Source organism: Homo sapiens, chromosome 4 (assembly GCF_000001405.40).
Source record: "Homo sapiens chromosome 4, GRCh38.p14 Primary Assembly".
In the NCBI taxonomy this organism is placed as follows: Eukaryota; Metazoa; Chordata; class Mammalia; order Primates; family Hominidae; genus Homo; species Homo sapiens.
This window is the reverse complement of record NC_000004.12, coordinates 55,974,389-56,002,374: the sequence shown is the minus strand read 5'-3', so window position 1 is coordinate 56,002,374 and position 27,986 is coordinate 55,974,389. Positions and strand designations below refer to the sequence as shown.

The 27,986-nt window shown below is 37.5% G+C and overlaps 1 protein-coding gene across 4 annotated transcripts in view, besides 1 other annotated feature; it reads right to left on the bottom strand.

Annotated features, from left to right (window-relative positions):
- The window catches only part of CEP135 (centrosomal protein 135), an 84,417-nt gene that overhangs the window by 30,987 nt on the left and 25,444 nt on the right, over window positions 1-27,986 (bottom strand). For 3 of the 4 annotated variants that reach the window (NM_025009.5, XM_006714055.4, XM_005265788.5), the window contains 7 exons: window positions 27,406-27,629; window positions 22,080-22,232; window positions 20,996-21,148; window positions 17,017-17,094; window positions 10,290-10,441; window positions 2,958-3,073; window positions 2,730-2,884 (listed from right to left, as the gene is read on the bottom strand). In NM_025009.5, the coding sequence (NP_079285.2) occupies window positions 2,730-2,884; window positions 2,958-3,073; window positions 10,290-10,441; window positions 17,017-17,094; window positions 20,996-21,148; window positions 22,080-22,232; window positions 27,406-27,629 (1,031 nt within the window). The remainder of the gene's footprint in view (window positions 1-2,729; window positions 2,885-2,957; window positions 3,074-10,289; window positions 10,442-17,016; window positions 17,095-20,995; window positions 21,149-22,079; window positions 22,233-27,405; window positions 27,630-27,986) is intronic. The other variant, XM_011534412.2, reaches the window with a different exon arrangement.
- Window positions 11,237-11,396: an enhancer, noted in NCBI's record as "active region_21576". NCBI's record gives its function as "activates an Ori minimal core promoter by ATAC-STARR-seq in GM12878 lymphoblastoid cells {active_cell/tissue: GM12878}" and the evidence as "EXISTENCE:reporter gene assay evidence [ECO:0000049][PMID:35858748]".

Genomic DNA, 27,986 nt, shown 5'->3' with positions numbered 1-27,986 from the left:
TAGGGCCAACATAATATTGAACGGGGAAAACTTGAAAGCCTCTCCTCTAAGATCTGGAACAAGCCAAGGATGCCCACTTTCACACTTTTATTTAACATAATCCTGGAAGTCCTGGCCAGAACAATTAGTCAAGAGAAAGAAAAAAAGGGCATCCAAATTGAAAAGAAGAAGTCAAATTAGCCTTATATGCAGACCACATGATCTTGTATTTAGAAAAACCTTAAGACTCCACTAAAAAACTGTGGGAACTGATAAGCAAATTCAGTAAGTTGCACAATACAAAATCAAGATTACAAAAATCAACAGCATTTTTATACTCCACCAGCAATCTGAAAAATAAATCAACAAAACAATTCCATTTACAATAGCTGCAAAGAATAGAAAACACCCAGGAATCAATTTAACCAAATATATGCAAGATCTATACAAGGAAAACTACAAAACACTGATGAAAGAAATAGAAGAGGCCATAAAAAAATGGAAGGATATTCCATACTCATGGATTGAAGGAATTAATGTTGTTAAAATGATAATAATACCCAAAGCAATTTACAGATTCAATGTAATCCCTATTAGAACACGATCAACATTTCTCACAGATATAGAAAAAAAAATCCTCAAATAAATTGGAACCACTAAAGACCCCAAATAGCCAAAGCAATCCTGAGCAAAAAAACAAAGCTGGAGATCGCACTAACTGACTTCAAAATATACCATACAGCTATCCAATCAGCATGGTATTGGTGTAAAAACAAGACACACAGACCAACAGAACATAATAGGGGACCCAGATATAAATCCACACATTTAAAGCCAACTCATTTTCAACAAGATGCCAAGAACATACAATGGGGACAGGGCAGTCTTTTCAATAAATGGTGCTGGGAAAACTGGATAACCATATACAGAATAATGAAACTGGCCCACTATCTCTTACCATATACAAAACTCAAATCAAAGTGGATTAAAGACTCAAATCTATGACCTGAAACTATGGAACTACTAGAAGAAAATGTTGGGGAAATGCTCTAAGACATTGGTGTGGACAAATATTGTCTGTGTAAGACTTTAAAAGCACAGGCAACAAAAGTAGAAAGAGACAAATGGGATTACATTAAGCCAAAAAGCTTCTGCACAGCAATGGAAACTATTAAGAAAGTGAAGAGACAACCTACAGAATGGGAGAAAATATCTGCAAACTATCCATCTGACAAGGGATTAATAACCAGAACATACAAGGAGCCCAAACAACTCAATAGCAAAAAAACTCCAAATAATCCAATTTTAAAACGGGCAAAGATTTTCATAGACAGTTCTCAAAAGAAAATATACAGATGGCCAAAAAGCATGTGAAAAAATGCTCAACATGACTAATTATCAGAGAAATGCAAATTAAAACCACAATGAGATATCGTCTCACCCCAGTTAGAATGCTTTTTATCAAAAAGATGGGGAATAACCGATGCTGGAAAGGATATGGAGAAACAGGAACTCTTGTACACTGTTGGTGGGAATGTAAATTAGTACAGCCACTATGGAAAACAGTGTATGAAGGTTCCTCAAAAAACTAAAACTATAACTACCATATGATCCTGCAATTCCACTATTGAGTAAATATCTGAAAGAGAAGAAATCAATATATCAAAGAAATATCTGCCCCCGGTATATATACACAGGAAATATTATTCAGCCATGAAAATGAATGAAATGCTGTCATTTGCAGCAACATGGATGGACCTGGAGGTCATGATGTTAAGTGAAACATGTCAAGCACAGACAGACAAATATCATTTGTTCTCACCCATACGTGGGTGCTAAAAAGTGGATCTCATGAAGACAGAGAGTAGACTGGTAGTTACCAAAGACCAGTAAAAGGATGAGGGAGGAGGCGTGAAGAGAGGTTGATTAATGGGCACAAATATACACTTAGAAGAAATAAGACCTGGTGTTCGAAAGATATCAATAGGGTGACTCCAGTTAACACCAATCCAGCGCACATTTCAAAACAGCTAAAAGAGAGTAATTTACACATTCCTAGCATAAAGAAAAAAATAAAGTGATAAATATCCCAATTACCCTGACTTGATTATATGAATGTCTCAAATTACCATGTGTAACCCAAAAATATGTACATCTCATATGTACCAATAAAAGTACATAAACTTTTTATTTATTTATTTATTTAGAGGCAGGGTGTTGCTCTGTCACCCAGGCTGGAGTGCAGTGGCATGATCTCAGTTCAGTGCAATCTCCGCCCCTGGGCTCAAGTGATCCTCCCACCTCAGCTTCCTGAGCAACTGGGACCACAGGTGCACACCACCACACCTAGCTAATTTTTTGTATTTTTGGTAGAGATGGAGTCTCACCACGTGGCCCAGGCTTGTCTTGAACTCCTGAGCTCAAGCAATCCTCCCACCTCAGCCTCCCAAAGTGCTGGGATTGCAGGTGTGAGCCACCACATCCTGCCAAAAGTAAATAAACCTTTTAAAAAAGAAATGAATAAGTGAAAATACAATAAACTTTTCCGGCTAGGAGTAGTGGCTCATGCCTGTAATTCCAATTGCTGAGGTTGGGGGATTCCTTGAGCCCAAGAGATAGGGGTTGCAGTGAGCTGTGATCATGCCACTGCACTCCAGCCTGAGTGACAGAGTGAGACCCCATCTCAAAAACAAAAACAAAAAAAACTGTTCTGTTTGGATGCTGGAAAATTACATTAAACGATCACATACTTTATTAGCTAGGTTTTCTTGCAAATTTGCAATCTTTTCTGTCTTCTCATCTACAGTCTCCTGGAGAAAGTCTTTTTCTTTATCAATAACACCAATGGTCTTTTTCATTACATGAGCCTCCTCATCCTGTGAAGTCATCTTAAGGTTTAGTTCATCTACAAATGAAAAGAAATGTTTGTTAGACAAAGTACATTAGGATTAGCAGAAACAAAATTTTAAAACATTTACCTATCTTTTCCTCCAGTATTTTAATTTGTGCTTGGGCTGATTCAAGTTCACCTCTTTTTATGGAAAGTCGGTGCTGATAGTCATCAACTGACCGCTGTAGCTGCTCATTCACTATCCTAAAGAATCAATGGACAAAAACAAATGGTATTCTTTATCTCTCATAGAAATACGTTTAAAAAATGAGATTTCTTAAAAATATTTTGATGTCTTATTTTTAAAGTTTGCTATTTTTTATTTTAAAGCTCCTCCAGTATAATCTATGGCATTATATATTATTATTTCTTGCTGTCCACTATTCTTCTCCAAAATGGTTCCATCTTCCTAAAAATAATATAGTATAAAAATCAAATTAATTGTGTGCTCTTTTCTAGTAGCTTCTTGGTAGTTTTAAAGCTCTTCTTAGTTTCCTAATGTTAACCCCCTCTCCTTTAAATCTTTTTCCAATAGTGGAGGCAAAGGAAAAATCCTGTTCTTACAGTATGACCTGGCATTTCAAAGCACTAGCCATAAATCCTAACCATCTCAACCAGTGAGCTCTTTTTTTTGTTTGTTTGAGGCAGGGTCTCCCTCTGACACACAGGCTGGAGTGCAGTGGTGAGATCTCAGCTCACTGCAACCTCCGCCTCCTGGGCTCAGGTGATCCTCCCACCTCAGCATCCCTAGAGGCTGGGACTACAGACATGGACCACCACACCTGTCTAATTTTTCTATTTTTAGTAGAGACGGGGTTTTACCATGTTGCCCAGGCTGGTCTCAAACTCCTGAGCTCAAGCAATCCATCTGCCTCGGTCTCCCAAAGTGCTGGGATTACAGGTGTGAGCCACCATTCCCAGCCCTGACCTGTGAACTTTTAATATTGCTTCTTATTCTGACTTTTTGGCCGGGTAGTCAAATGGAGTGACAGAAAGCAGGGAAAGTAGGCATTTCCTGCAGATTGAAGACTTGGTTCAGGGAGCAAAAGAAAGGATGTACAGCGGCCTACATGGTTAACGACAAAGATGATTTCAGAGAAATCTGTTACTGATCAGTAGGATTATTTGTCAGAAGTAACGTTCCTGGAAGGTTTAACAGTAAAAATTTGCTTTCATGTCATGCAGAGTCTTCAGAACACTTTTAGCCCTGACCTGAGACTTCACAATCCTGCCTTGCTGAAAAGACATGGCTCTCACCTCAGAGTATTTATTAGGAATTTCCATGGATTCCTTTTAGGCTTCCTTTTGAGGAATAAGACATGGAAAAAGATACTGAGGGTAGCTTAGCTTAGAATCGCCTAAAGGGAAGGAGGTTTGAATTCCAAAACCACGAATAAGAAGGGACATCTTTATAGGAATGAAGAAGTTTTACTGGCAGTATTGAGGTATTCTGAAAGACAAAACACATGACCCTGACTGTTCTAACAGCAAGTGAATGATGATCAAGAGGTAGGGAGGAGAGTCAAGTTGGGACTGATTTATTTAGACTTGCAAAACTAAACAAAACCAAGTTAGAAAGACATTAGGTTCAAGCAATCTTACTTCCTAAAATTATGTGTGAGGTTCAGGTTCAGGTGACTGCACCGTATTCACACTATTCCTAAAAGCTAGAACTGCTGTTCCATGGGATATAACAACAGAGAGTGGTACTTTGTACATATTAGCTCATTTATTCCTAGAACAGTACCATAATTAGGACGGTTCCATAATTAGAACTGTTATCCCAACTGAATACAAACAACAAAAAAACTTGTCCAAGGTCACAAAGAAAGTAAGGGCAAAGAAAATATGCAAATTAAGGCTAGTCTAACATTATAACAATGTTCTTCTACTACATCATAATGCCTTCTTTGCAGAATATAGGAAGGCCAACCTCCTCTACGTGAAAGAGAAAATGCCTGCCAGGAAGCTATACGGAGTCCTTTCAAAAACAGAATGACCCGCAGAAACCTTAATGAAGGACACTGAGCAGTTGGCAGTGCTTGAAATTCCAGGTAGAAATGTAAAGACTGCTTTATATCTAACTTCATAAAGCAGGGTGACGTCCTAATGAAAGTGGGGTTGACAAAGGCAGGATCACATCTTGATTGATATATATACATATAAAGGAAGCCCTTAGGTGGGCCCTAAAAGTAGCTTCGTCTTTTTATATTCTAGGGTAGAAAGAGAAGAAAACAGAGACTAGATACCAGACCTTCAATGTAACTTTTCCGACCAAAGTTTTGCTAAGATAAAGGTCCTCTCAACGAAACAGTTGAGGTGTAAAAGTCATAGGAAAGAATAGTTGAGTGACTGCCATTATTAGTTGTTCATAATCGTGTTTGGAAAGGAAATTTTGAGAATCAAGTTAGGAAAAATGAACCAGTTTCTTAGCTTCGAAAATGCTATAAACGTAGCAAAGGGAAGTAACAACTTCTCACCAGAGAGTGAAGCAATAAAAATGAACTTAAGTTCTGGCTCTCCACTTAGCAGATGTGACTGGGTAGAGGTCCATCTCTTTGAGATTCAAATTCCTCAGTTATATTGTATTACATGGAGCTACACATGATCTCATTTAGGGGACAAAGGTAATTATTTCCATCATAATGCAGTAAATTTTAAACAAAGACAGCATCTTAAAGGATCCTCTGTTCATACGAAGTGTTCAAGTTCTAAAATGGAGCTAAAGCACCATCTAAGAAAGGAAAGATGGGTTTGGAATTTTAATGGCCTATTAGAAAAAAAAAAAAAAGACGGAGACTGATGTGGTATCCCTGTTTTTATTTTAGATTTCTCCCAGGAGTCTATGGTTATAGCCTACCACTAAGAAAGATGAATAAGTATCATCTCTTGATCAGCCAGAGAGGGAAAAGAAATTAGGACTGGATTTTCTTTTAGATTTCTGGATGGGGATGATGGTTGTAACTAGTGGCCCTAGATCCCTTGACCCTTTCAATTCTAGATCCACAAACTCAGCCATCCTCACTCAGGGCTCTGGTTCCTCTTCCTGTCCTGGTAGAAAAAAAAATGTTAGGAATGCCCAGAAGACAGTTCTTAAGCATCCAGATAACTTATGAGTCTTCTTTGGCTTATCTAAAATGGTCCTCTCTTGAGCCCAGGAGCTCAAGAACAGCCTGGGCAACATTGTGAGACCCTGTCTCCACAAACATTTTTAAAAATTAGCTGAGTGTAGTGGTGCATGCCTATAGTCCCAGCTACTCAGGAGGCTGAGGTGGGAAGACTGCTTGAGCCAGGAGGTCAAGGTTTCAGTGAACCATGATTGTGCCACTGCACTCCAGCCTGACAGAGTGAGACCCTGTCTCAAAATAAGTAAAATAAAATAAAATGGTTATCAATTACCTTAAAAAATAAATACTTCTCATGGGAGACTAGTTACATTTGGTTTTCTGAATACACCTAAAGAAATCCTAGTAAAACAACTAATATATATGGGATAGACTTTATGGGTCATTTCCAGGAAAATCTGCTACAGCATCTATTTGATCCTAGATAAGAGTATACCCTCTGGTTTTGAACATACACAGATAAAGACTAAGGTGAACTGAGGACAGTCTGACAGTATTTTCAGCTGCAGGATTCTCATTGTTTAGAGCCTCATAGCTCGCAGTTGTGAGGCTTAAGGATGTTTACTAGGGGCTTGACTGAGAAAACTGAGTTGTCTAACTGGGCTGGAAACAATTTTTCCTTGAGCAGGGGTTGACAAACTACAGCTGGATGCCAATTTCCGTAAGGCCTGAGTGGTGTAAATGGTTTTTACATGTTTAAATGGTTTTTATATGTTTAAACGACTAAAAAAAATTTCAATAGAAAATTATTATTTAGTGACATATGAAAATTATATGAAATCAAAATTTCAGTGTCCATACCACACTACTTCATTTTATATATTGCCTAGGGCTACTTTCAAGCTACAAGGGCAGTGTTAAGCAGGTGTGACATAAACTATATAGCCGGCACAGTCTAACAGGGTGTCCAAGCGAGATAATACAGTCACAGGTTCTTAGGTTCTGTTTCTGGTTGGGCCAGTAAAGTCTCTTCCTCAACCCTCTGTTTCGCTTATTACTAGAGACAGACTAAAAACCATGGCTTCAGGCTGCTGAAAGCCTAAAACAAAACAAAACAGACAACAACAAAATACGGTGGGTTGGATAAGCTTAGTCTAAAATATTGACTCTTGTCTATTTACAAGGAAAAAAAAGACTGTTGACCTCAGCTCTAAAGACTGGCTAGCATGCTCCAGGGGAATAACCTTCCCGGGTAGACAAAAGTTCCTTTACAGCATTCTGTAGCTTTGATCTGGGGTATAAAATGCCAGATCTCATTAAATGCTGTAATTAAAGGGAGATGACAGTAATTTAACTTTAAAACATGGTTAAAAGTGAGATTTTATATTATGTGCTCTGACAACAGACAAAGAAACTAGACAAAAGATTCTCTATTTGGACAATTAAACTATGCTTAGGTCAGGCGTGTGGCTCACACCTGTAATCCCAGCACTTTGGGAGGCCCAGGCGGATGGATCACATGAGGTCAGGTGTTTGAGACCAGCCTGGCCAACATGGTGAAACCCCTTCTCTACTAAAAATACAAAAGTTATCCGGGCATGGTGGCAGGCGCCTGTAATCCCAGCTACTCGGGAGGCTGAGGCAGGAGAATTGCTTGAAGCTGGGAGGTAGAGGTTGCAGTGAGCCAAGATCATGCCACTGAGCTCCAGCCGGGCCAACAGAGCAAGACTCCGTCTCAAAAAAAAAAAAAAAAAGATTATGCTTGATATAGAAAAGCCTGTTTGTTGGTAATAAAATGTGGTGGAAAAAGCCTGAAGCAGGAAGGGAAAAAGAAGATAGGGAAAAAGAAGATGGGTACCTCAGGGGGATGGAAAGGAACATATGCCTTATCTATCTGAGACAGTCTCACTCTGTCACCCAGGCTGGAGTACAGTGGCATGAGCACAGCTCACTGTAGCCTTGAACTCCTAGGCTCAAGCAATCCTCCTGCCTCAGCCTCTCGGGTAGCTAGGGATATAGGCACATGCTACCATGCCTGGTTGACTTTTGTATTTTTTGCAGAGATAAGGTTTCACCACATTGCCCAGGCTGCTCTTGAATTCCTGGGCTCAAGTAATCCTCTCACCTTGGCCTCCCAAAGTGTTGAAATTATAGGCATAAGCCACCATGCCTGGCCCTGACTCTCAGCTTCTTAAATGTCTTCATGTCAAGGAAAAGAGAACATGATGTGATCAAAGGGGTAGCAAGAGCTCTATTAATCATACTGAAAGTGGCAAAAGGTTTAGATAATGTAGTTTTACTTCCCAAGAGTGCCGGGTATCATGGTTTGTATTTGGTTTCGCTTTAGACTTGGATTCAATGGTTTCAACTCATGGTTCTACCAATACTTACTGATATGGAGAATATGATTGATACACTTTCCTAAGAGACAAGATAAGTCATATTTTTCTGTTAGAGCAAAATAAAGTTATAAAATAATGCCATATCCCCAGGTTATACAAGGTAACCTGGTAGAAAGGTAGACAAAAATTCTCACAATAGCCCAGTGACTGAATTACTCCTAGGTGAGGGAAGAGGCTGATTGAGCTCATAAGAGAAAAGGATATTAGTAGTAGTACAAGAAATAAAACTCCAAAGGAGCTATAGGCTAGGTTATCCAAGAAAGGGCACTGAGAGCTCTGCCTTCTAAGACTGGAAACAGCCTCCTGTGAGGAAAAGAGGTGTTTCAGCCATAATCTCAAGGAAAAACAAAATGGATTACATGCTAGATCCAGTCAGCTGGACACGAAAGTGACAAGTGAAATTCTGGATGACAAGAATATGTCATGTTATCTGTACTTTAGAGCTGAATCCAGACATGAGCCAGAGGAGATACCAGTCCATTCAGCTCTCCTCTCACAGAAAAAAGCAAAGAAAAAAGCAGTATCTACTTTAGTTCTTCCTGAGGTCTAACCTACCAAAACTATCGTCAGAGAAGCAAAAGAACAAAACTGGAGATGCTCTTTATGAGTCGCTAATATAGTATTCCTTAATTAACTAGACACACCCAGTTCTTGGTCTTATTTCATTAAGTCATTAGACAATCAGAGAACCCTTATGAACTACAGTCTCAGACTTTTCTTTTCCTAATTCCTTTGATTCTCGTATTTGCTCTGTTTACTATATACTTTTGTGATTCCTAGTTTTTTGTATATTGGAACTATGTCTTTTTTCTCATCATTTACTTTTGTTCTTTGGAGTTCTGGGTGACTTTCATCAGTTTGTTTTTTCTATTTCACCAACTCAGTTTTCTGCCAATATCCAATGCCATTCACTAACTTTTCAGTTTTAATTTGTTAAATCTTTTTTTTAAAGTGTCATTACTATAATCCTTTCTGATCTCAAGTTGTCACTGTTTCATGACTAAATGTTTCACAGATGTAATGTCTTGCTGACATTTGAAAATCTTTTCCTGATTCTGACTGCAAATGTAATTTAGAGAGAGGTATTTCCTCAGATTCTTCAGAGCGGTCCCCTTATTCCGACCTTCATTATCTTGTTACTTATTGCAGCTACTCTGATCAGAAAAAAAGCTTTGTTTGCCTTTTGTTTCCTTGAGTCTTCTGTATTCTAAATTAATTAATGACTAACCAACAACCCAATATGCTAAGGTAAATGTTCTACTTATCGTATTTCTCAGCCCCATATTAGTCATCTAAACCTTTTGATTTTATATAAAAAGTGTTTCTTAAATTTGGTCTCTGTTCTCTAAGTTCATTACCACTGCTTCAGTCCAGATCCTCGGTCTCCTTTTTTTGCCATCAATCTCTAAGACTTGAAATCCATGTTCCATATTTCCACCAAAGTTAGCTTCCTAAAAGGAACACTATTGATATGTCTTACCTCCCTACTTAAAAACTTCTGTTTCTAAGTCAGAAAGGGTTAAAAATTGGAGGTAAATTCTTTGACTTTACGTTTCACTGAAAGAGGCAAGAAAGAGAAAGAAAATGGCATAGGTAGTAAACAATTCTGTAATTTTCAGTATCTTACACTATGAAATACAAATGATCTGAAGTATTTAAGAGGATTTCAAAAGAAGGTTGAAAAACTTTGCCTGCAATCATATTAATCTGTGAAATTTCTTTTAAAAAACACAGATACCCAAAACCTACCCCAGTAGATTCTCAGTGAATTAGAACCTCCCAAAATCAGCCCCTTAAATTCATACTTTTCAAAAGCTCCCAGGTGAGTCTACTGCAAAGCCAACTTCTAAAACTACTGCACAAAGGCCCAGTCCAAAATGCCATGATTATAAACTTTACATAACCACAAACACATTCCCAGAAATGAAATTAGAAAATTTTGAATAAACTTACCTAAGTGAGTTCACCTCTGTTTTCTGATGAGATGAGTCACCAGCCACATGGCTAAATTTTTGAGCTTGGACTTTTAATTTGTTCTCTAACGACTCTATTGTTTCTTTCATTATTAACACTTTAGACTTTAATTCATATTTTTCGCTTTCAAGCTATAATTTAAATAAAAAAACAGTAGGTATATATCTTAATACGTTAATGATATTTTTCTTAGGCACTCTTTAATAATATTTCCGGAAGAAAACTAAGAAAATAGATTTATTTTTAAAAAAACTTTATAAGTCATGTGTACAGTTTAGGTTCTAAGAGTCAGAATGGGTGTAAAATTTCTTTCTCCTCACTACCATTAAAGATACAAACAAAATATAAAAAGCACGAAGAGAAAAGAATATATCTATAACAGCAATGAAACAGGAAGGAAACCACTGGCAGAGTGAAAATTTTGGGGAATTTCTAAAACACAATAAGTAAATAGGACTGAATTGAGGGGAAAAAAACACAGCACAAAACACTGTAACCCAAACACAAAGTGGGCAAGATCTATGTGAAGAAACAGTATAATTTTCCTGAAAAGCACAGAATATAACCTGACATAATGTACAGGCAACACAATGTTTCTTGATGGGAGCACAATATTGTAAATACACTAAAATTTCCTCAAATAATAGTAAATTCAATGGAATTCCAATACAATTCTAACACAAGCTTTTTAAAAATGGGGATGGCTTAGATTTGATTCTAAATTCATTTACAAAAAAAAAAAAAAAGAAAAAAACAGGAAAAATTTTTGGAAAAAATACAAGTATACTTGCTTTATGAGATATCAAAACAAACTATAAAGTTATTATATGGGAGGCCACGGTGGGCATATCATGAAGTCAAGAGATGGAGACTATCCTGGCTAGCACGGTGAAACCCCATCCCTACGAAAAAATACAAAAAATTAGCTAGGCGTGGTGGCACATGCCTGTAGTCCTAGCTACTTGGGAGGCCGAGGCAGGAGAATCGCTTGAACCCTGGTGGCAGAGGTTGCAGTGAGCCGAGATCACGCCACTGTACTCCTGCCTGGGCAACAGAGTGAGACTCTGTCTCAAAAAAAAAAAAAGTTATTATAATTAGAACAGTGAAGATTTCACATACAAATGCGCAAGCAAATTTATGAAAGTGAAAACAGTGAAAAATATCATGCACAGATGTAAATTTAGAAAAGATAGCATTTTTGGGAAGTAGGAAAAGCATAAACTTAAAAAATAAGAGTAGGGGGCTGGGCGTTATGGTGGCTCACACCTTTAAGCCTAGTACTTTGAAGGCCAATGCAAGAGGACCACTTGAGGCCAAGAGGATTGCTTGAGGCCAGGAGCTCGAGACCAGCCTGGGAAACACAGTGAGACCCTGTCTCTACAATAAAATTTTTTTTTTAAATTAGCCGGGCATGATGGTATACCTGTAGTCCTAGCTCCTAGGGAGGCTGAAGAGGTGGGAGGATTGCTTGAGCCCAGGAGTTGGAGGAGGCAGTGAGCTATGATCATACAACAGCACTCCGGCCTGGGCAACAGAGCAAGACTCTGTCTCTTTAAAATAAATAAATAAGTGTAGGGACAAACAGTCACTGGAAAAACAACTTAGCTGGATTTCTTCTTTATTTTACATACAAAAATAAATTCTAGATGGGAAAATGACCTACATTTAAATTTTAAAACCAATAAATATTAGTAATAAATGTAAGTCTTCCAGTTAAAACTGTGGACTGACCACACATATTTTATCTCCCCTCCCTCTGAAAGCATTGCTAAAATGACAGTAAAGGAATAAGAATACACAGCTCTAGAAGCGAGGTTTTTAGAAGAAAAAACTGAAACTGATGTTTGTGTATTCAAAACATATTTAAAGGCATAAGTCAGAGATAATGGAACTCTTGACAAAAATTAGCAATAGGTTCAATGAAAACCAGGTAACAAAAAGCAAAGCAAACCAAAACAAAGTCAATTACTAACAAAAGGAAAAAAATTTACAAGAAAAAAGAAGATGGATCAGTCACCACTACTCCATCACAGCACAAAAGCAGTCACAGACAATATGTAAATAAATGAGCAAAACCATGCTGCAAAAACAGACTGGAGGCTGCATTTGCCCTGGGGATCATATTTTGCTGAGCTCCATCATATCTGGTACATATCTAGAAAGGGAATTGTTGGCTCATAGGGTATGCCTTTGCTAGATAACACCAATTTTTTTGGAACAGATATGAAGTTTGCACTCCTAGGAGCTACACATATTTGCTAATATATGTTACAACTTGATAATTTCTAATGCCTTGATGTAAAATGATTTTACTGTTTTAATTTACATTTCCCCCATTATTGAGGTAGAATATCTTTTATGTTTATTAGCCATTTGTAATTTCTTCCTCCATAAAGAGTTTATTCACATCTTCTGTTGAGGCTTTTTCAGGGGAGGGGGATTAAATGTGTAGCAAACTGTTCTATCAGTGGCTTATCTTTTCAATTTATAGTTAAGTAGATAAACAAAGATTTTTTTTTGCCAATGTGGTCCTATTTATCAGTGTTTTCCTTTAAGGAATAAATTTATTTGTGTTTGTGTCTTGTTTAGGGGCACACATTCTGGCACCAGACATCTGCTAGCTGTGTGATCTTAGGCAAGTTTCCCCTCTGCCTCAGTTTCCTTATTTGTGAAATGAGGACAATATTAGCATTTACTTTATATGACTGTTATGAAAATTAAAATAATTGGGTATAAAATGTTGAGAAAAGTATCTGAAACATAGTGAATGCTATATAAATGACTGATATTATTATTTCTCCAAGGTCAAAAAGATCTTCTGCATTTCTTTAAAAAATGTAGTAATATCTTGAACATTCAAGGCTGTAAGTAACCTTTAACTGATTTTTGGGTGTGGCATATTTGAGTTAGGATCCAATTTTTTCCTTTTAAAATATGAATAGCCAATAGTCTGAGAAACAATTAGTGAATAATCATTCCTTTTCCCACTGATCTGAGTTACTTCACAGATCAAATTCTTACATTTGTGGGTTTGCTCTCTACTGGGTTTGATCAGTCTCTCCCAATCCCTGTTGTTTTATTATGTTTTTTTTTTTTTTCGAGACGGAGTCTTGCTCTGTCTCCCAGGCTGGAGTGCAGTGGCGTGATCTCGGCTCGGCTCACTGCAAGCTCGGCATCCTAGGTTCATGCCATTCTCCTGCCTCAGCCTCCCGAGTAGCTGGGACTACATGCGCCCGCCACCACGCCCGGCTAATTTTTGTATTTTTTTTTTAGTAGAGACGGGGTTTCACCGTGTTAGCCAGGATGGTCTCGATCTCCTGACCTCATGATTCGCCTGCCTCAGCCACCCAAAGTGCTGGGATTACAGGCGTGAGCCACCACGCCCAGCCATTTTTTTTTTTTTCTGAGACGGAGTCTTGCTCTGTCACCCAGGCTGAAGTGCAGTGGCATGATCTCAGTTCACTGCAACCTCTACCTCCTGGGTTCAAGTGATTCTCCTGCCTCTGCCTCCCAAGTAGCTGGGACTACAGGCGCGTGCCACCTCACCTGGCAAATTTTCGTATTTTTAGTAGAGATGGAGTTTGACCATGTTGGCCAGGCTGGTCTTGAACTGCTAACCTCAAGTGATCCTCCTGCCTCTGACTCCCAAAGAGCTAGGATTACAAGCGTAAGCCATCATGCCCAGCCTATTATGTATTACTATGACTCTAAAGGCTTCACATCTGGGAGGACAAGTCTAGCACCATGTTCTTCTTTAAAACTTCTATGTGATTCTTGGCTTTTTGCTTTCAAGTAAATTTTAAGATCTATTGTCAATTCTTCCCCCTCACCCCCCGCCCCCCACACTCTTATTGGGATTTCAGCTACAGCTACCTCAACTCTATAGATCAAGTTGGGGAAAATTTATGTTATTTTTATACCTTTTTTATAAACCTGATATAATCCTCCACTTATTTAGGCTTTCTTTAATGACTTTCAATATGGTTGCATAATGTTTCCTATAAAGATTCTGTAAATTTATCCATAGGTAAATTGTATTATTCATGACTACTAAAATTGTATGCATTTTCTTTTTATTTATCTTGCTTGGGATTTGTCATGCTTTTGGAATTCATTTTGAATCAGGGGGTTCCTGTGTTTTCATATCTAGAAAATCATCAATCATTATCTCTTCAAATACTCTCTCTCCCACATTCTATTATGTCCTCCTTGAGTCCTAACTAAATATTAGTCTGAATATTAGATCTTCTCAGGCTATTCTCCAACATTTTAACTTTTAAAATATTTTCTTATTTCTTTGTTTCTTTCCAATGACTTCTAGTACTTTCTTCAGATACATTTTCCAGTAATTAATATTACTGCTTTTAGCTTCTGGTCAAGCTGGAGTGATAGAGACCAGATTTACTCTTCCGCCTGAAATAACTAAAAAGTTGGATTAGATATGTGAAACTATGGTTTTCAGGACAATAGGCACCAGGCAATGATGACCGGTGACCCCTGAGAGACAGGAAACAAATGTGATGAGCTTTACATTTGCTCCAACTTATTGCCTGGAGAATTTCCAAACTGTGACACAGGGAAAGGAACCGATATGGAACCCAGTGGTCTGCCCCAAGTTCAGAAGACAGGCATGACAGTCAAAGAAGGCCAAGGCAGCTAAAGTTTGCAGGACAGGTATTAGAGGAGAGGTGCAAAGAGTGAGAGCTCCACAGATCTATAAAGGGTACCCTTTAAGTTTTCGGCTGAGTAGAGCTCAGCACAGAGTAAACTACCCAAGGCCAGGGAAAGAACCACGAACAAATTAGAGGGAACAATACTCAGAGCTCATGCAGGGCCAGGAAAAGTTCCTGTGCCCATCAGTCATTTGAAAATCTCATAATTCATAGGACAACAGGTAGCGTACTCAAAAGGGTTTTATCTCAGTAGTGAAAAAAAATTACTCCAAGACTAAAGGCTACTTTGATCCCACCTAACAAAGCTTAACGGCAAGACTGAAAAGGATCAGGCTACTTCCATATAATTTAACTGCATCCCAGAACAAACCTCAACAGTATTTCATAGTAATACAAACTATCTAGCAACCAAGAAGGTAAGATTCACAATGTCTGGCATCCAACCTAAAATTAAATTACCAGGCACATAAAGATACAGGAAAATATAATCCATGATGAGGTGACACTTCAACCAACTCAGATGACAGAATTAGAAGGCAAATATATTAAAACAGTGAAGGCATAGTAATAGAAGCCAGCCAAAACAAAACACATCAAAGGTTGACAAACTATTGGGTACTATGCTCACTACCTGGGTGATGGGATCAATTGTACCCCAAATCTCAGCATCACACAGTATACCCATATAACAAACTGTACATGTACCCCTGAATCTAAAATAAAAGTTGAAATTATAAAAACAGAAACATACCAAATTGTTAAAAATCCTATCTCCAGAGAGAGTAATAAAGAATGGAAGTGAATTTCTCTTTTTACTCTACCTCTGTATAATTTTTTTTTTCTTTTTTTGGAGACAGGGTCTTGCTCTGTCACCCAGACTGGAGTGCAGTGGTGTGATCACAGCTCACTACAGCCTTGAACTCCCAGGTTCCAGTGATCCTCTTACTTCAGCCTCCCAAGTAGCTGGCACCACAGGTGCATGCCACCATGCCTGGCCAATTTGTAAATTTTTTGTAGAGATGGGGTATCACTATCTTACCCAGGCTGGTCTCAAAATCTTGGGCTCAACTGATCCACCTGCCTCACCTTGGCCTCCCAAAGTGTTGGGATTATAGGCATGAGCCACTATGCCTGGCCTATATGATTTTTTTATAACAGCAAAACAACAATAATCATAGCTAATACCTACTAAGAGCTTACAATATGCCAGGCACGCTTCTAAGTTCTTTATATGTATTAACTCATTTAATTTTCACAAAAACCCTAAGGAGTAAGTACTAGCACTATTCTTACTTACGAATAAAGAAATCAGGGAACAGAAAGGTCAAGCAACTTGCCTGCAGGTAATAGGAGGCAAAGATGGATCTGAACCCAAGTAATCAGCCTTCAGAGTACACACTCCTAACTGCTGTTATACAGCTTTTCTAGTATACTATTTTGTGATTTTTTTTGGAGTTGTAGTCTTGCTCTGTTGCCCAGGCTGGAGTGCAGTGGTGTCATCATGGCTCACTGCAGCCTCTAATTCTTGGGGTCCAGTGATCCTCCCACCTCAGCCTCCCAAGCAGCTGGGACTACAGGTGTGCACCACCATGCCCAGCTATTGTAATTGTAATTGTATAAAACAGTGTATTAGGCCAGGCGTGGTGGCTCATGCTGTAATCCCAGCACTTTGGGAGGCCGAGGTGGGCAGATCACGATGTCAGGTCAGGAGTTTGAGACCAGCCTGGCCAACATGGTGAAACCCCGTCTCTACTAAAAATACAAAAAAAATTAGCCGGGCATGGTGGCACGCAACTGTAGTTACAGCTACTCAGGAGGCTGAGGCAGGAGAATCGCTTGAAGCTGGAGTTGGAGGTTGCAGTGAGCTGAGATTGTGCCACTGTACTCCAACCGGGGCAACAGAGCGAGACTCCATCTCAAAAAATAAATAAAAATAAAAATAAAATTAAAATTAAAAAATAGTGTATTAAAACTGTAATTGACATAGTTATTCATATAACACAAGATACCCCAAATCCAGTTTGATACATTACCTGATGATTAACACATGTCAAATGTTCAATAGTTTTCTCTAATTCTGATTTTCCAAAAAGACTCACTTCTTCAATATGCTGAAAAAGAATGTTAAAGAAAATGTTCATTTGTATCAGATAACAAAACAAAATCACCACAGTAAGCAATGTAAGTCTACAGTTCTATTATATTGTATTTGTCCTTTCATAAAACACAGAAATGTTTTAGAAAGAAAATCATTAGACATTTTACAAAAATGATGTTTTTGGTTTAAAAAAGGCACAATACGTTCTCATCTTTTACACTCTCTACCTCCATGTGTGATTGTAGTAGAAGACATAGATTAGTAAGGATTCATTTATAAAGATTTATACAGATTAATCCATAATAGCACAACTATAAAAGGACAAAACCAGCAGGTTAAATAAAAAGCTCAGGAGTATGCCCTCATAAGAGGAGATGTAAGAGAAACAAAATGCAAAGGAAGACAAGATCAGAAAGACACAGGAAACACAATACTACAAGGCCATGCAAGAGATGCGAGTTTCAATAAGGGGCTGGTCAACAGTATAAACACAGGGACTATTTTTCTGGTTACATTACTTTATCCAACTTACTGCTGCTAAGTCTAGGATAAGCAATATAACTTGGTGTTCACTGAGAGTTTTTCTAGCATGGATTCATTTCCATCCTTGTTATTCATTAAAAAAGAAACAGACACATCTGATGTTCAGATTACACATTTGGTTGAAAGGGTCACTGTATTGTATGTATTTATTTAATTGCTCAACTAGTATTGAGTACATACTCTATACCAAGCACCAAGCAAGGTCTCAAGAATATAGTAGTGAGTAAAGCGGATGAAGTCTCTGACAGCATAGCTACTGTAGCTTAGTAGAAAAGACAAAACCTAAATAAGAGCTCAAAATAAAATCCATGAATATTCTGCTAGGAAAAGGAACTTTATGCCAAAATATCAAAAGGGAATCTAGATTCTAGGGTTCATTTCCCATCAAAAGACATGATGTTTGGCCTGGACTTAAAGATAAATAGGAATCAGCTAGACAAGAAGAGTGGAAGATGTGAAGGAATCTTTCAATAGTCTATGTAGAAGGCTGGTGGCAAGAAAAAGTCCATTAAGCCTGGAGTCTTGTGAACAGGGGAGATGAGTTTAGAGGAAAGAGGCTAGACCTTCAGGTAGGCAAAGGCCAATCACTGAAGTCCTCGAAAACAGTTAATGGATTTTAAATAGGAAGTGATATGATCAGATTTATATCTCTGAAAGATAACTCTGACTTCAGTGTGAAATATCGATTTAAGAGAGGTAAGGCTAGTACAGGGGCCAATAATACAATAATGCAGGTGAGGGAGAACAATGACCAGAACAGGATGGTAGCAGGGGAACAGAAAGAAGTAAACAAATTCAAGACAAAGTAATGTGAGCTCAGAAGCCAGATTCCTTGTAACTCATAGCTGGATGACCTTGGGCAAGTTATTTAAACTCACTGTAACTCGGAGACATCATCTGTAAGCAGTACCTATTAAAAAAGGCTATTACAGGTCGGGCATGGTGGCTCATGCCTATAATTCTAGCACTTTGGGAGGCCAAGGTGGACCCCACCTGAGGTCAGGGGTTTGAGACCAGCTGGCCAATATGATGAAACCCTGTCTCTACTAAATCGCTTGAACTTGAGAGGCGGAGGTTGCAGTGAGCGGGACTGCCCCTCAAAAAAAAAAAAAGAGGCTATTGTGAAGATTTGAAGATTCACTGAGACAACCCATGTAAAAAGCACTTAATAGAACAGAGCCTCTCACATGGGAAGGGCTTAATACATGTTAAATATTTTTCAAGAGATAGCACTGATAGGACCTGGTGATTGAGAGATATGAGCTTTCAGGGAGATCTTAGTGATGGATGATGCTTGGATTTGACAACTGGTTAGATAGTGGAATAATGGGAAACTCTGGAAAAGGTTTAAGGATTGAGATTAGTTACACTTTTAAGTAAAAGATCTGTTGTAAACTCACAAAATCCTGCCTCCTACAACCCAGAAGGATTCTGATAATACAAATGTTGCTTTTTCCAAGTTTTCAGTACTACTGCATTTAAAAAATCCTATTTTTACATTCTTGGGTCATTTCAAAAGATATGGAAAAGGATAAGTCAGTAGCTTGTGCTAAAAGCTGCCATACTGCACAGAAGTTTCCCATTTGGCAATTTTAACACTTATTTTTATAAGAAAACACTTTCTGGAAAGCAGTATTCCAAAAGATTCCAATTAAAAGTATTCTTAAACTGTTATATTTAGGGTGAAACTTCAACTGAACATTGTGACATAAAGACTATGCTTATAATGTTTAAATGTTTTTATTTCTAATTTTAGCTGCTACTTTCAAAGCATTAATTCAATAATACTGATTGCAAATAAACTATGGACTCCATAATATTAGGATTTAGTACTTACAATGTGCTAATCATTGTTAAGTGCTTTATATGTATTAATATACTTATATTTTTGGAGATTATAAAAGAAATTATAAAGTACTGACCCTAGATATGGCACCAAATGTACAAGCAACTAAAGAAAAAAATAACTAAATTGGACTTTATCCAAATTAAAAAATTTTGTTTTTCAAAGACATCACTGAGAAAGTGAAAAAATGACCCACAGAATGGGGGAAAGTATTTGCAAATCACATATCTAATAAGGGGCTGTATGTAGAATATATAAAGAACTCTTACAACTTAATAATGAGACAACCCAATTTAAAAATCGGCAACGAATCTGAACAGATGTTTCTCTAAAAAAGGATATAAAAATGGCCAATAAGAATATGAAAAGATGCTCAACCTCATTAGCCTCAAGGCAATGCAAATCAAAGCCACAATGGAGACATTTCACACCCACCAGAATGACTATAATACAAAAGGCAGATAGTACCAAGTAATGGTGAGAGTGTGGAGAAATTAGAACTTTTATTCACTACTGGTGGGAATAAAAACAGCTTGGCTTCAATGGTTAAACACAGACTTACCATATGACCAGGAATATACCCAAGAGAAATGAAAATATATATCCAGACAAAAAGTTGTATACAAGTTCCTAGCAACATTATGGATGAATCTCGAAAACATTATGCTAATGAGAGAAGTCAGACATTTAAAAATCACATATCGAGTGATTCAATTTATATGAAATATCCAGAGCAGGAAGATCTATAGAGACACAGGTGGCTGCCTGTGGCTAAGAGGGGATGGGAGAAATGGGGAGTGACGCTAATGTGCTTCAGAGTTTCTTTTTGTGGTGATGAAAATGCTCTAAAATTGACTGTGTGATGGTTGAACAAGCCTATGAATATACAGATAGTCCCTGGTTTACATTTTTGACTTTGTTATGGGTTTATCAGGAGGTAACCCCAGTATAAGTTGAGGAGCCTGTGGACTCAACAATGGCTTAAGATTTTTCAATATAAGACTTTACAATGGGTTTACTGGGGTATTAAATGCATTTTTTCCGACTTACATTTTTTACTTATGATGGGTTTATTGGAATGTAATCCCATTGTAAGTCAAAGAGCATCTATGCTAAAACCAATGAAATGGTATACTTTAAGTGGGTGAATTGTATGGTATGTGAATATCTCTGTAAAGCTGTTACAAAAACAAACAAACAAACAAAGATACTGTCTTCCCATATGAGAAACTTCTGCTTAAGTTCAGGGATTGGCAAACTTTTTCTGTAAAAAAACAGTAAATATTTTAGGTTTTGTAGGTCATACTACAAAAGAAGCTAAAGATAATACATAAACAAATAAGCAAGGTAATCCAATAACATTTTATCAACAATGAAATATTCTTCTTAATCCATTCTTAGCTCACAGGCCATACATAAACAAAGTGGTCTGGATTTGGCCAATAGTAACTTCACAGGAAAATGTATATACAAAGACCTCTTTTTCTCAACAAATTACCTTTCAAAAACATGTCAATCTTCTTACCTCTAATTTTTCTCTTAAAGCTTCCTTTTCTGCCATAATTCTTCTTAAGTCAGATAACGCAAGTTCTTTTTCCTTTTCCATAAGACTAACAATATTATGGGGTGCTGTGGTTTGGGTGGATTCCTTTCTTAGGGCAGATAATTCTTCCTGAGCCTTAAAGAATGAAAAGATATAAATTAAAAAGGCACTTTAGTAAAAGATATAAATAAAAAATACTTTGGATATGTTTCCAGTTAAAAAAGGCATACTGAACACATGCTACCGTCACTCTCTTCGCAAATCCCAACAAAAGATTAAAATAGTAAGAATAATAAAACAAAAAAGACAAGGGGATTGAGGGAGGCACCAGCCACAAAATGTTGGAAACTAGACAGCAGACAGACAAGCAGGAAGTAACTAGGCAGACCCAAGAAAGCTGAAATCTAAGCTAGCAATGGGGAAAGCCCAGAAGTGGATCAATTTACACTGCAGAATTCCCCCCAAAAAACTCATTAAGTGACTCTTTCAACGTGACCTTTAACTTGCATGCCTCTTCCCCTTCTCAAAATAGCAGTAGGATTTCATGGGAGATGGGTATGTGAACAAATTTAGGTGACAGACACCATGCTTTGCTCAGACTTACCTTGCCCTCTAACAACTGAGGATTTGTTAATGGGGCCAAGCTGAATACCAATTCCCTCTTCCTAGAGTACAGTATTTAGAGACTAAGTCCTAAATAGCCAATATATCCAAATAGTGGGTGCTACCCACTGTTTTGATAGACATTTCCCTACGTCTGAATTCCAAGCATAAATTTGGCTCAGAGTCAGGCTGAGACCTGCTTCAGGTAGTTTTAGAAAAAGAAGACTATCTCTAACTGATCTGACACATAGATAGGCTAGAAAAGGGAAAGAATAAATATGAAAAAATAAGAGAAATTTGTGTTTTAGAAACAGAATGATAGTAGAAACTACTACTGATAATTTTAATTATGAAGAAATATCACAGGTCCATATATTATAGTAATGTGAAAGATATATACAGGCTCCATTATAGTTAACTGGTTCTATACAATCTATTGGCTTAATTATAATACATTTCTTACTTCATTATATAAGACACTTAGTTTATCTCTTTCTGCTGTCAATAATTTAACATTGGACTGTATATCTTCCATATATTTTTCAAATCTTTCTAGCATACGCTGAAGTTCATCTCTTTCTCTTGTGATCTGATGAATTTCTGAATTGTAATCACCCTGAAACATAATTAAAAAACAAAATATAATCATCACCACATGGTTGTCACAAGGATACTGATGATGAGATTGACTGAAAGATGCTACCAGACAAAAAGAACACAAGTGCCTTTAACGTAATTAAGGAACACAGTTTTAAAAATCTATGATGAGAGCAGATGAGAGCACTGGCAGTACCAGGGCAAATTTCCTGGCCTTCAAGTTCCCAGAAGAGACTTAGCTGCCAATGATGTGACTTGATCAGATCCCATGAGATGTTTCAACTTTTATTCTCCCAAAGTTGTTCATACTCGTGGTACTTGAAGTATAATCCCCAGACCAGAAGCATTAGCAGTATCTAAAAGCTTGTCAGACATGCAAATTTTGGAGTTTGAAGCCCAACCCAGACCTACTCAGTCAAGAAACTTCCGGGTAGGGCCAAGTAACTGTATTTTATCAAGCCCTCTAAGTGATTCTGATGCCTGGTAATTTTTTAGAGCCACTAGTTAGTTTATCTTCTCCAGAGAAGGGGCCAGCAGGGTACTTGTGTGCCTGCTCGCCCAGTACAGGTAACTGTAACAGCCTAGCACATTTCTCAGTGTTTTCTATGATTGAATCTAAGATCAATACGCCAGGCATACCAACCCCCAACTGTCTCAGCTTCAGACCTACAGGAGGTCTTTTTATACAGTCAAATAAATGCAAATATTTCTACCAGGCAGTATATATTAAGAATATTCACTGAATAAGCAACTACTTCCAACATTTCTACAATTTAGTGCAATTTAAAAGATGCCTACAATTTAGTACAATTCAAAAGATTCACTGTCTTCATCACTATGGTAGAAAATAAAGATGAGAGCACTCTGATTCTCCCCATGCACATGTAAATAAATTTGTATGCCTTTTTCCTATTAAAAAAAAAGAAAAATAACAAATGTAGACTTGGGATCTATGGTATCTTAATGTTACAAGCACTAAATGCAGAAGTGCCAAGAAGGGATAATTTGATAATATGATACACTGAAAAGAGACCTGGCCTATACTATGTAACATCTGTTATGCCAATACCACATACAATGTAGATTTGGTAAATGATAGATATCTGTGAGGTACCTCTCACCTGCACTTGGAAATAATTAATCTCTTGGTTAAATAAGCAAAACCGAGGCATGATGGATGGGATTAGTTATCCGAACTCTTTAAAGGACAAGATATTTTATAGTACAAAAGCAGATTAGTGTTTTGGGACTTAACCAATGTAACTATAAAAGAAGCTATGTAATCTAACCATATCTAAATTTAAAAAGTCTGGGCCAGGTGTGGTGGTTCATGTTTGTAATCCTAGCACTCTGGGAGGCCAAGGCAGGAGGACTGCTTGAGGCCAGGAATTCATGACCAGCCCGGGCAAAAGAGCAAGACCTGCCTCTGCAAAAAATTAAAAAATTAGCCAGGCATAGTGGTGCACACTTGTAGTCCTAGCTACTTGGGAGGCTGAGGGAAGAGGATTACTTCAGCCCAGGAGTTCAAGGTTACAGTGAGCTATGATCGCACTACTGCACTCCAGCCTGAGGGACAGAGTGAGACTTTCTCCCAAAGAAAAACAAAATAATCTTCCAGAAAGAGGCAGTCTGTACAGATTCTAGAAAAGGAGGGCTCAATAAACAAAGATTTGACAATCTATTTTTATTACTGTTTAGGTGTCAGCTTAAATGTCACTTTCTCCAAGGAATTCTTTCAGATTTTTCAATCTAATTTAGATCTCCTTCTATATACTCTTATAGTATTTTGAATATTTTCTGTACTTTCTTCATAAACACATTATAAATGAGGTTATAAGGTTATGTACATGATTGTGCATTTAATGTGTATCTGTACTACTAAAATTTAAGCTCCATGAGGGCCACAGTAGGAACCTGGTCTTTTTCATTACATCTTCAGTGTCTAGTATGGTACCCAGTAAAACATGAGTTTACCCAGTAAAACATGAGTTCCCTGAACATTTACTGACTGACTTCCCTAAGCAGAAACTCTACTCTTCTTTAAATATATCTGTTGTACATATTTGTTAGTGTTAATGTATAATTGTGAATAACGCCCTTTCACTACTCCACTGTCCCCTAAACACACACATGCACATGCACACACATGCGCAATGCTGAAGGCTGTAAGGGCAGGAACTGTCTTCATCTCTGTATTCTATGCCTCATTCAGAGCAGGCACTCAGTATTTATCTTCTGAACTGACCCTAGCTTTCTACCAGAACTGATGTGCTTTGAACCAGCAAATAATAAGGAAATAAACCATTCACCGGTAACTAGATGTTACGCTGGGTCCTTACACAAATTATTTCATGATCAAAGGGCATAGTTTCAGTTAGTCTGGAGGAATGTTTTAATGAGCTATTGTGTTGCATGGTTACCAGTTAATAATAACTATTGTATACTTCAAAATTGCTAAAAGAATAGATTTTTAACATTCTCACCACAAAAAAATAAGTTGGTGAGGAAACAGACATGTTAATTGGTTTGACTGAATCTTTCTATAATGTATACATAGATCAAAACATCCAACTATACTCTATAAATATACATATTATTTGTCAATTAAAAATAAAACTGACAAATTAGCTCATTTAATCTTCACAAGAAGTTGTAGTCACTTTCCCCACTCTGCAAATGAGGAAAACAGGGTTCCATGAAGTTAGGTAACTTCTCCAACATCATAAAGCCAGTTTGTGGAGTTGGAACTTGTGTTAGGCTCCAATTGCAAAGCACTTCTGCCTACACCATACTCAAAACTCACAGTGGGAACCAGGGTGAATACAAGGTGAGGAGGATAGTACCCACCCTACACAGGGAATAGAGAATTGATATTAAAAAATGTCAATTTTTTTCTGAGTTATTACAATCCCAACACTGTGCCTAACAGTCTGCCATAAAGCAGGGGTTGAAAACACAGCTAGTACCAAATCCAGCTGTAGAATGATCTTTGTGGTTTACCAACAAGTGCTCCTGAACATGTTTAAAACAGCTAATTCTAGGGCGGCCACCATGGCTCACGTCTGTAATCCCAGCACTTTGGGAGGCCAAGGCAGGCAGATCACTTGAGATCAGGTGTTTGAAACCAGCCTGGGCAACATGGAAAAACCCTATCTCTACAAAAAATACAAAAAACAAAAAAAAAAAAAGCCAGGCATGGTAGCACATGCCTATAGTCCCAGCTACTCAGTACGCTAAGGTGTGAAAATGGCTTGAGCCCAGTAGGCAGATGTTGCTGTGAGACAAGATCATGCCACTGCACTCCAGCCTGGGTGACAGAGCCATATCCTGTCTCAATAAATAAAGTAAAATAAAATAGCTAATTTTAGGTGGGGAATGCACTTCCTAGTTCCCAGCACTCACAACTGTCTTATACCCCACCCATTTCATTCAGGTACTTACCTACTATCCTCTTTCATGCCTGCACTTTATTATTGGGCCTCTAAAATGCTCTGAACATCCTGGCTTTCTGAACTCTAGAAAATAAATTCTTTGTCTATGCCAGGTACCATTATAACTTCAAGAATGTAAATAAGTTGAAGGGGAGAAAAGTTTCACTTAATTTTACTAGTGCCTTACCAATATGTCTCACACATTTGTCTTTCAATTGTGAATCCAGCACAGAGCAAATGGATCAAATATTTTGGTTAAAAGCTCTGAGATATTTATCTCCTTGGTATTTGAAACTTAATTAAACTGATCAATCATTTTGTGGGAGATTCCTCTATACAATAAAAATGATCAATTCAGTCACTTATTTTTCCTGAGTCCTAAGTATATACGGAATTTAAAAAAAACTCAGCAACATAAATTATTAATAACCTGTACTGCATTTTCCCACCAATTCATTCTTTTTCTTTCTTTCTTTCTTTCTTTTTTTTTTTTTTGTCACCCAGGCTGGAATGCAGTGACGAGATCATGGCTCACTGCAGCCTCGAACTCCTGGGCTCAAGCAATCCCCTTGCCTCAGCCTTCCTAGTAGGTGGTACGAGAGGTGCATGCCACTATGCTCAGCTAATTTTTTAATTTTTCTTTTGTAGAGATGGCATCTCACTGTGTTGACCAGACTGGTCTCGAACTCCTGGCCTCAAGTGATCCTCCCGCCTTGGCCTCCCAAAGTGCTGGAATTACAGGAGCCACACCACCTGGCCTTATTCTTATAATAGATAACATAGTATAGTGCTTACACTGACAACAGTAAATCAAAATTCAGCCATTAGCCTATGAGGTTAAAAAATGAAGTCTAATCAGAAGACAAAACTGTTTGACAATGGACACAAGATCTTCAGGAAAAACATGACAAAATTAGTAAATTCGGCCAAGTCTGAAATCAAATGTTTTGAGTTTTAATGAGTACTCTACACTCCCAGATTTCCCCTAATTTTACCTAGTGTGTAGATAAAGTAATGTCACATAAGCCTTCAAGACTCCTGAACTCCAAAGCTTAAAAGAAGAAAAATCTGAAGAACTCAAATGATACTCATAAAACACTAAAAATAATTAAGACCTAAAATAGAGACACATGATTTTAATCTCTCATGAATCATGGTCAACTTTAAATAATACACACATTGGGAGATGCAATTAGAAAATAACATAGAGAGAACATCTTTGGATCATCAACTTACAAATATGGTTGTAGTGGACAAACAAAACAATCTCCCCAGCACTCACTTGCCATTTCTATCTATCTCCCATAGTACGGTTAATAGAGAAGATGCTTGGTCAGTAGAATGTGACACACCTTCCTAACTGGTCCAAGGCTGGAAATGACATGAAACCATGTTGCCTGCCATGCATACAAAGCCACTCTGCTATGAGAGAGAAAATGCAGCTGATACAGAAAGTAAATTCTAAAAAGAGAGGGAATGTCCAACAATATGAGTACTGGAAGGCCAGGTGCCACTGCACTTCTACAACTCAGCTATTCAACCTTTCCTTTAATTTCCAGTCATCTATATGTTATAGTTTGTTCTTAAGTAATTTTCCTAATTAATGTAGTGTTCCTATAGTGCAGGCCATAAAAGAAAACAAGAATCAAAATCAGGATTTTTCAAAGCAAGTACGAATAAAGTTACATTTAATATAATAATAAACCAGAAAAATTTATTCATAAAGATACTTTCTGGCCTACTCTTATAAAGGGACATTACCTTTTCTGGTGTTCTAAATATTGAACTTTTTTCACGTGCGCTATAACTTGTAGAGCAAGATCTTCGCTGTATTATATGTTGGAGTCTCTCTAGCTCTTTCTTATAATAATCTCGTTCTTCTTCTATACCTTTCAGAAATGTATCTAAACGAGAAGGTGACCTGTCTCGACGTTTTATTCCATGTTCTAGTCTCATCCTCTCAACCTCCAGAGTAAGTTGTCGTTCTGTAAATTAAAGTGGTTAACTCTTAAAATAATGTTGTATACATAATGTTGATTAGTCAAGTAAATTATATTAATAACTTTTAGAATGAAAGCTACTAGAAATCATGAACTGTTCTACATAACACCTGTAGGTACCAAATCTATTGAAGAGGTAAATATTGAGAGGAAAGAAGGGAAAAAAAAGCAAAAATTAAAAGTTTAAATAAAGTCCAATAGGTCCAAGTCTCCCTGCTTTTGTCTTATCGTAAGATGGGTGCTATGCAGTACTACAAAATGAAGCAATAAATTACCACATAGTACTTTCCCGGGACCTGAAAATGCACTAAAAGAAAATGTATCTATAAACAATCATAACAT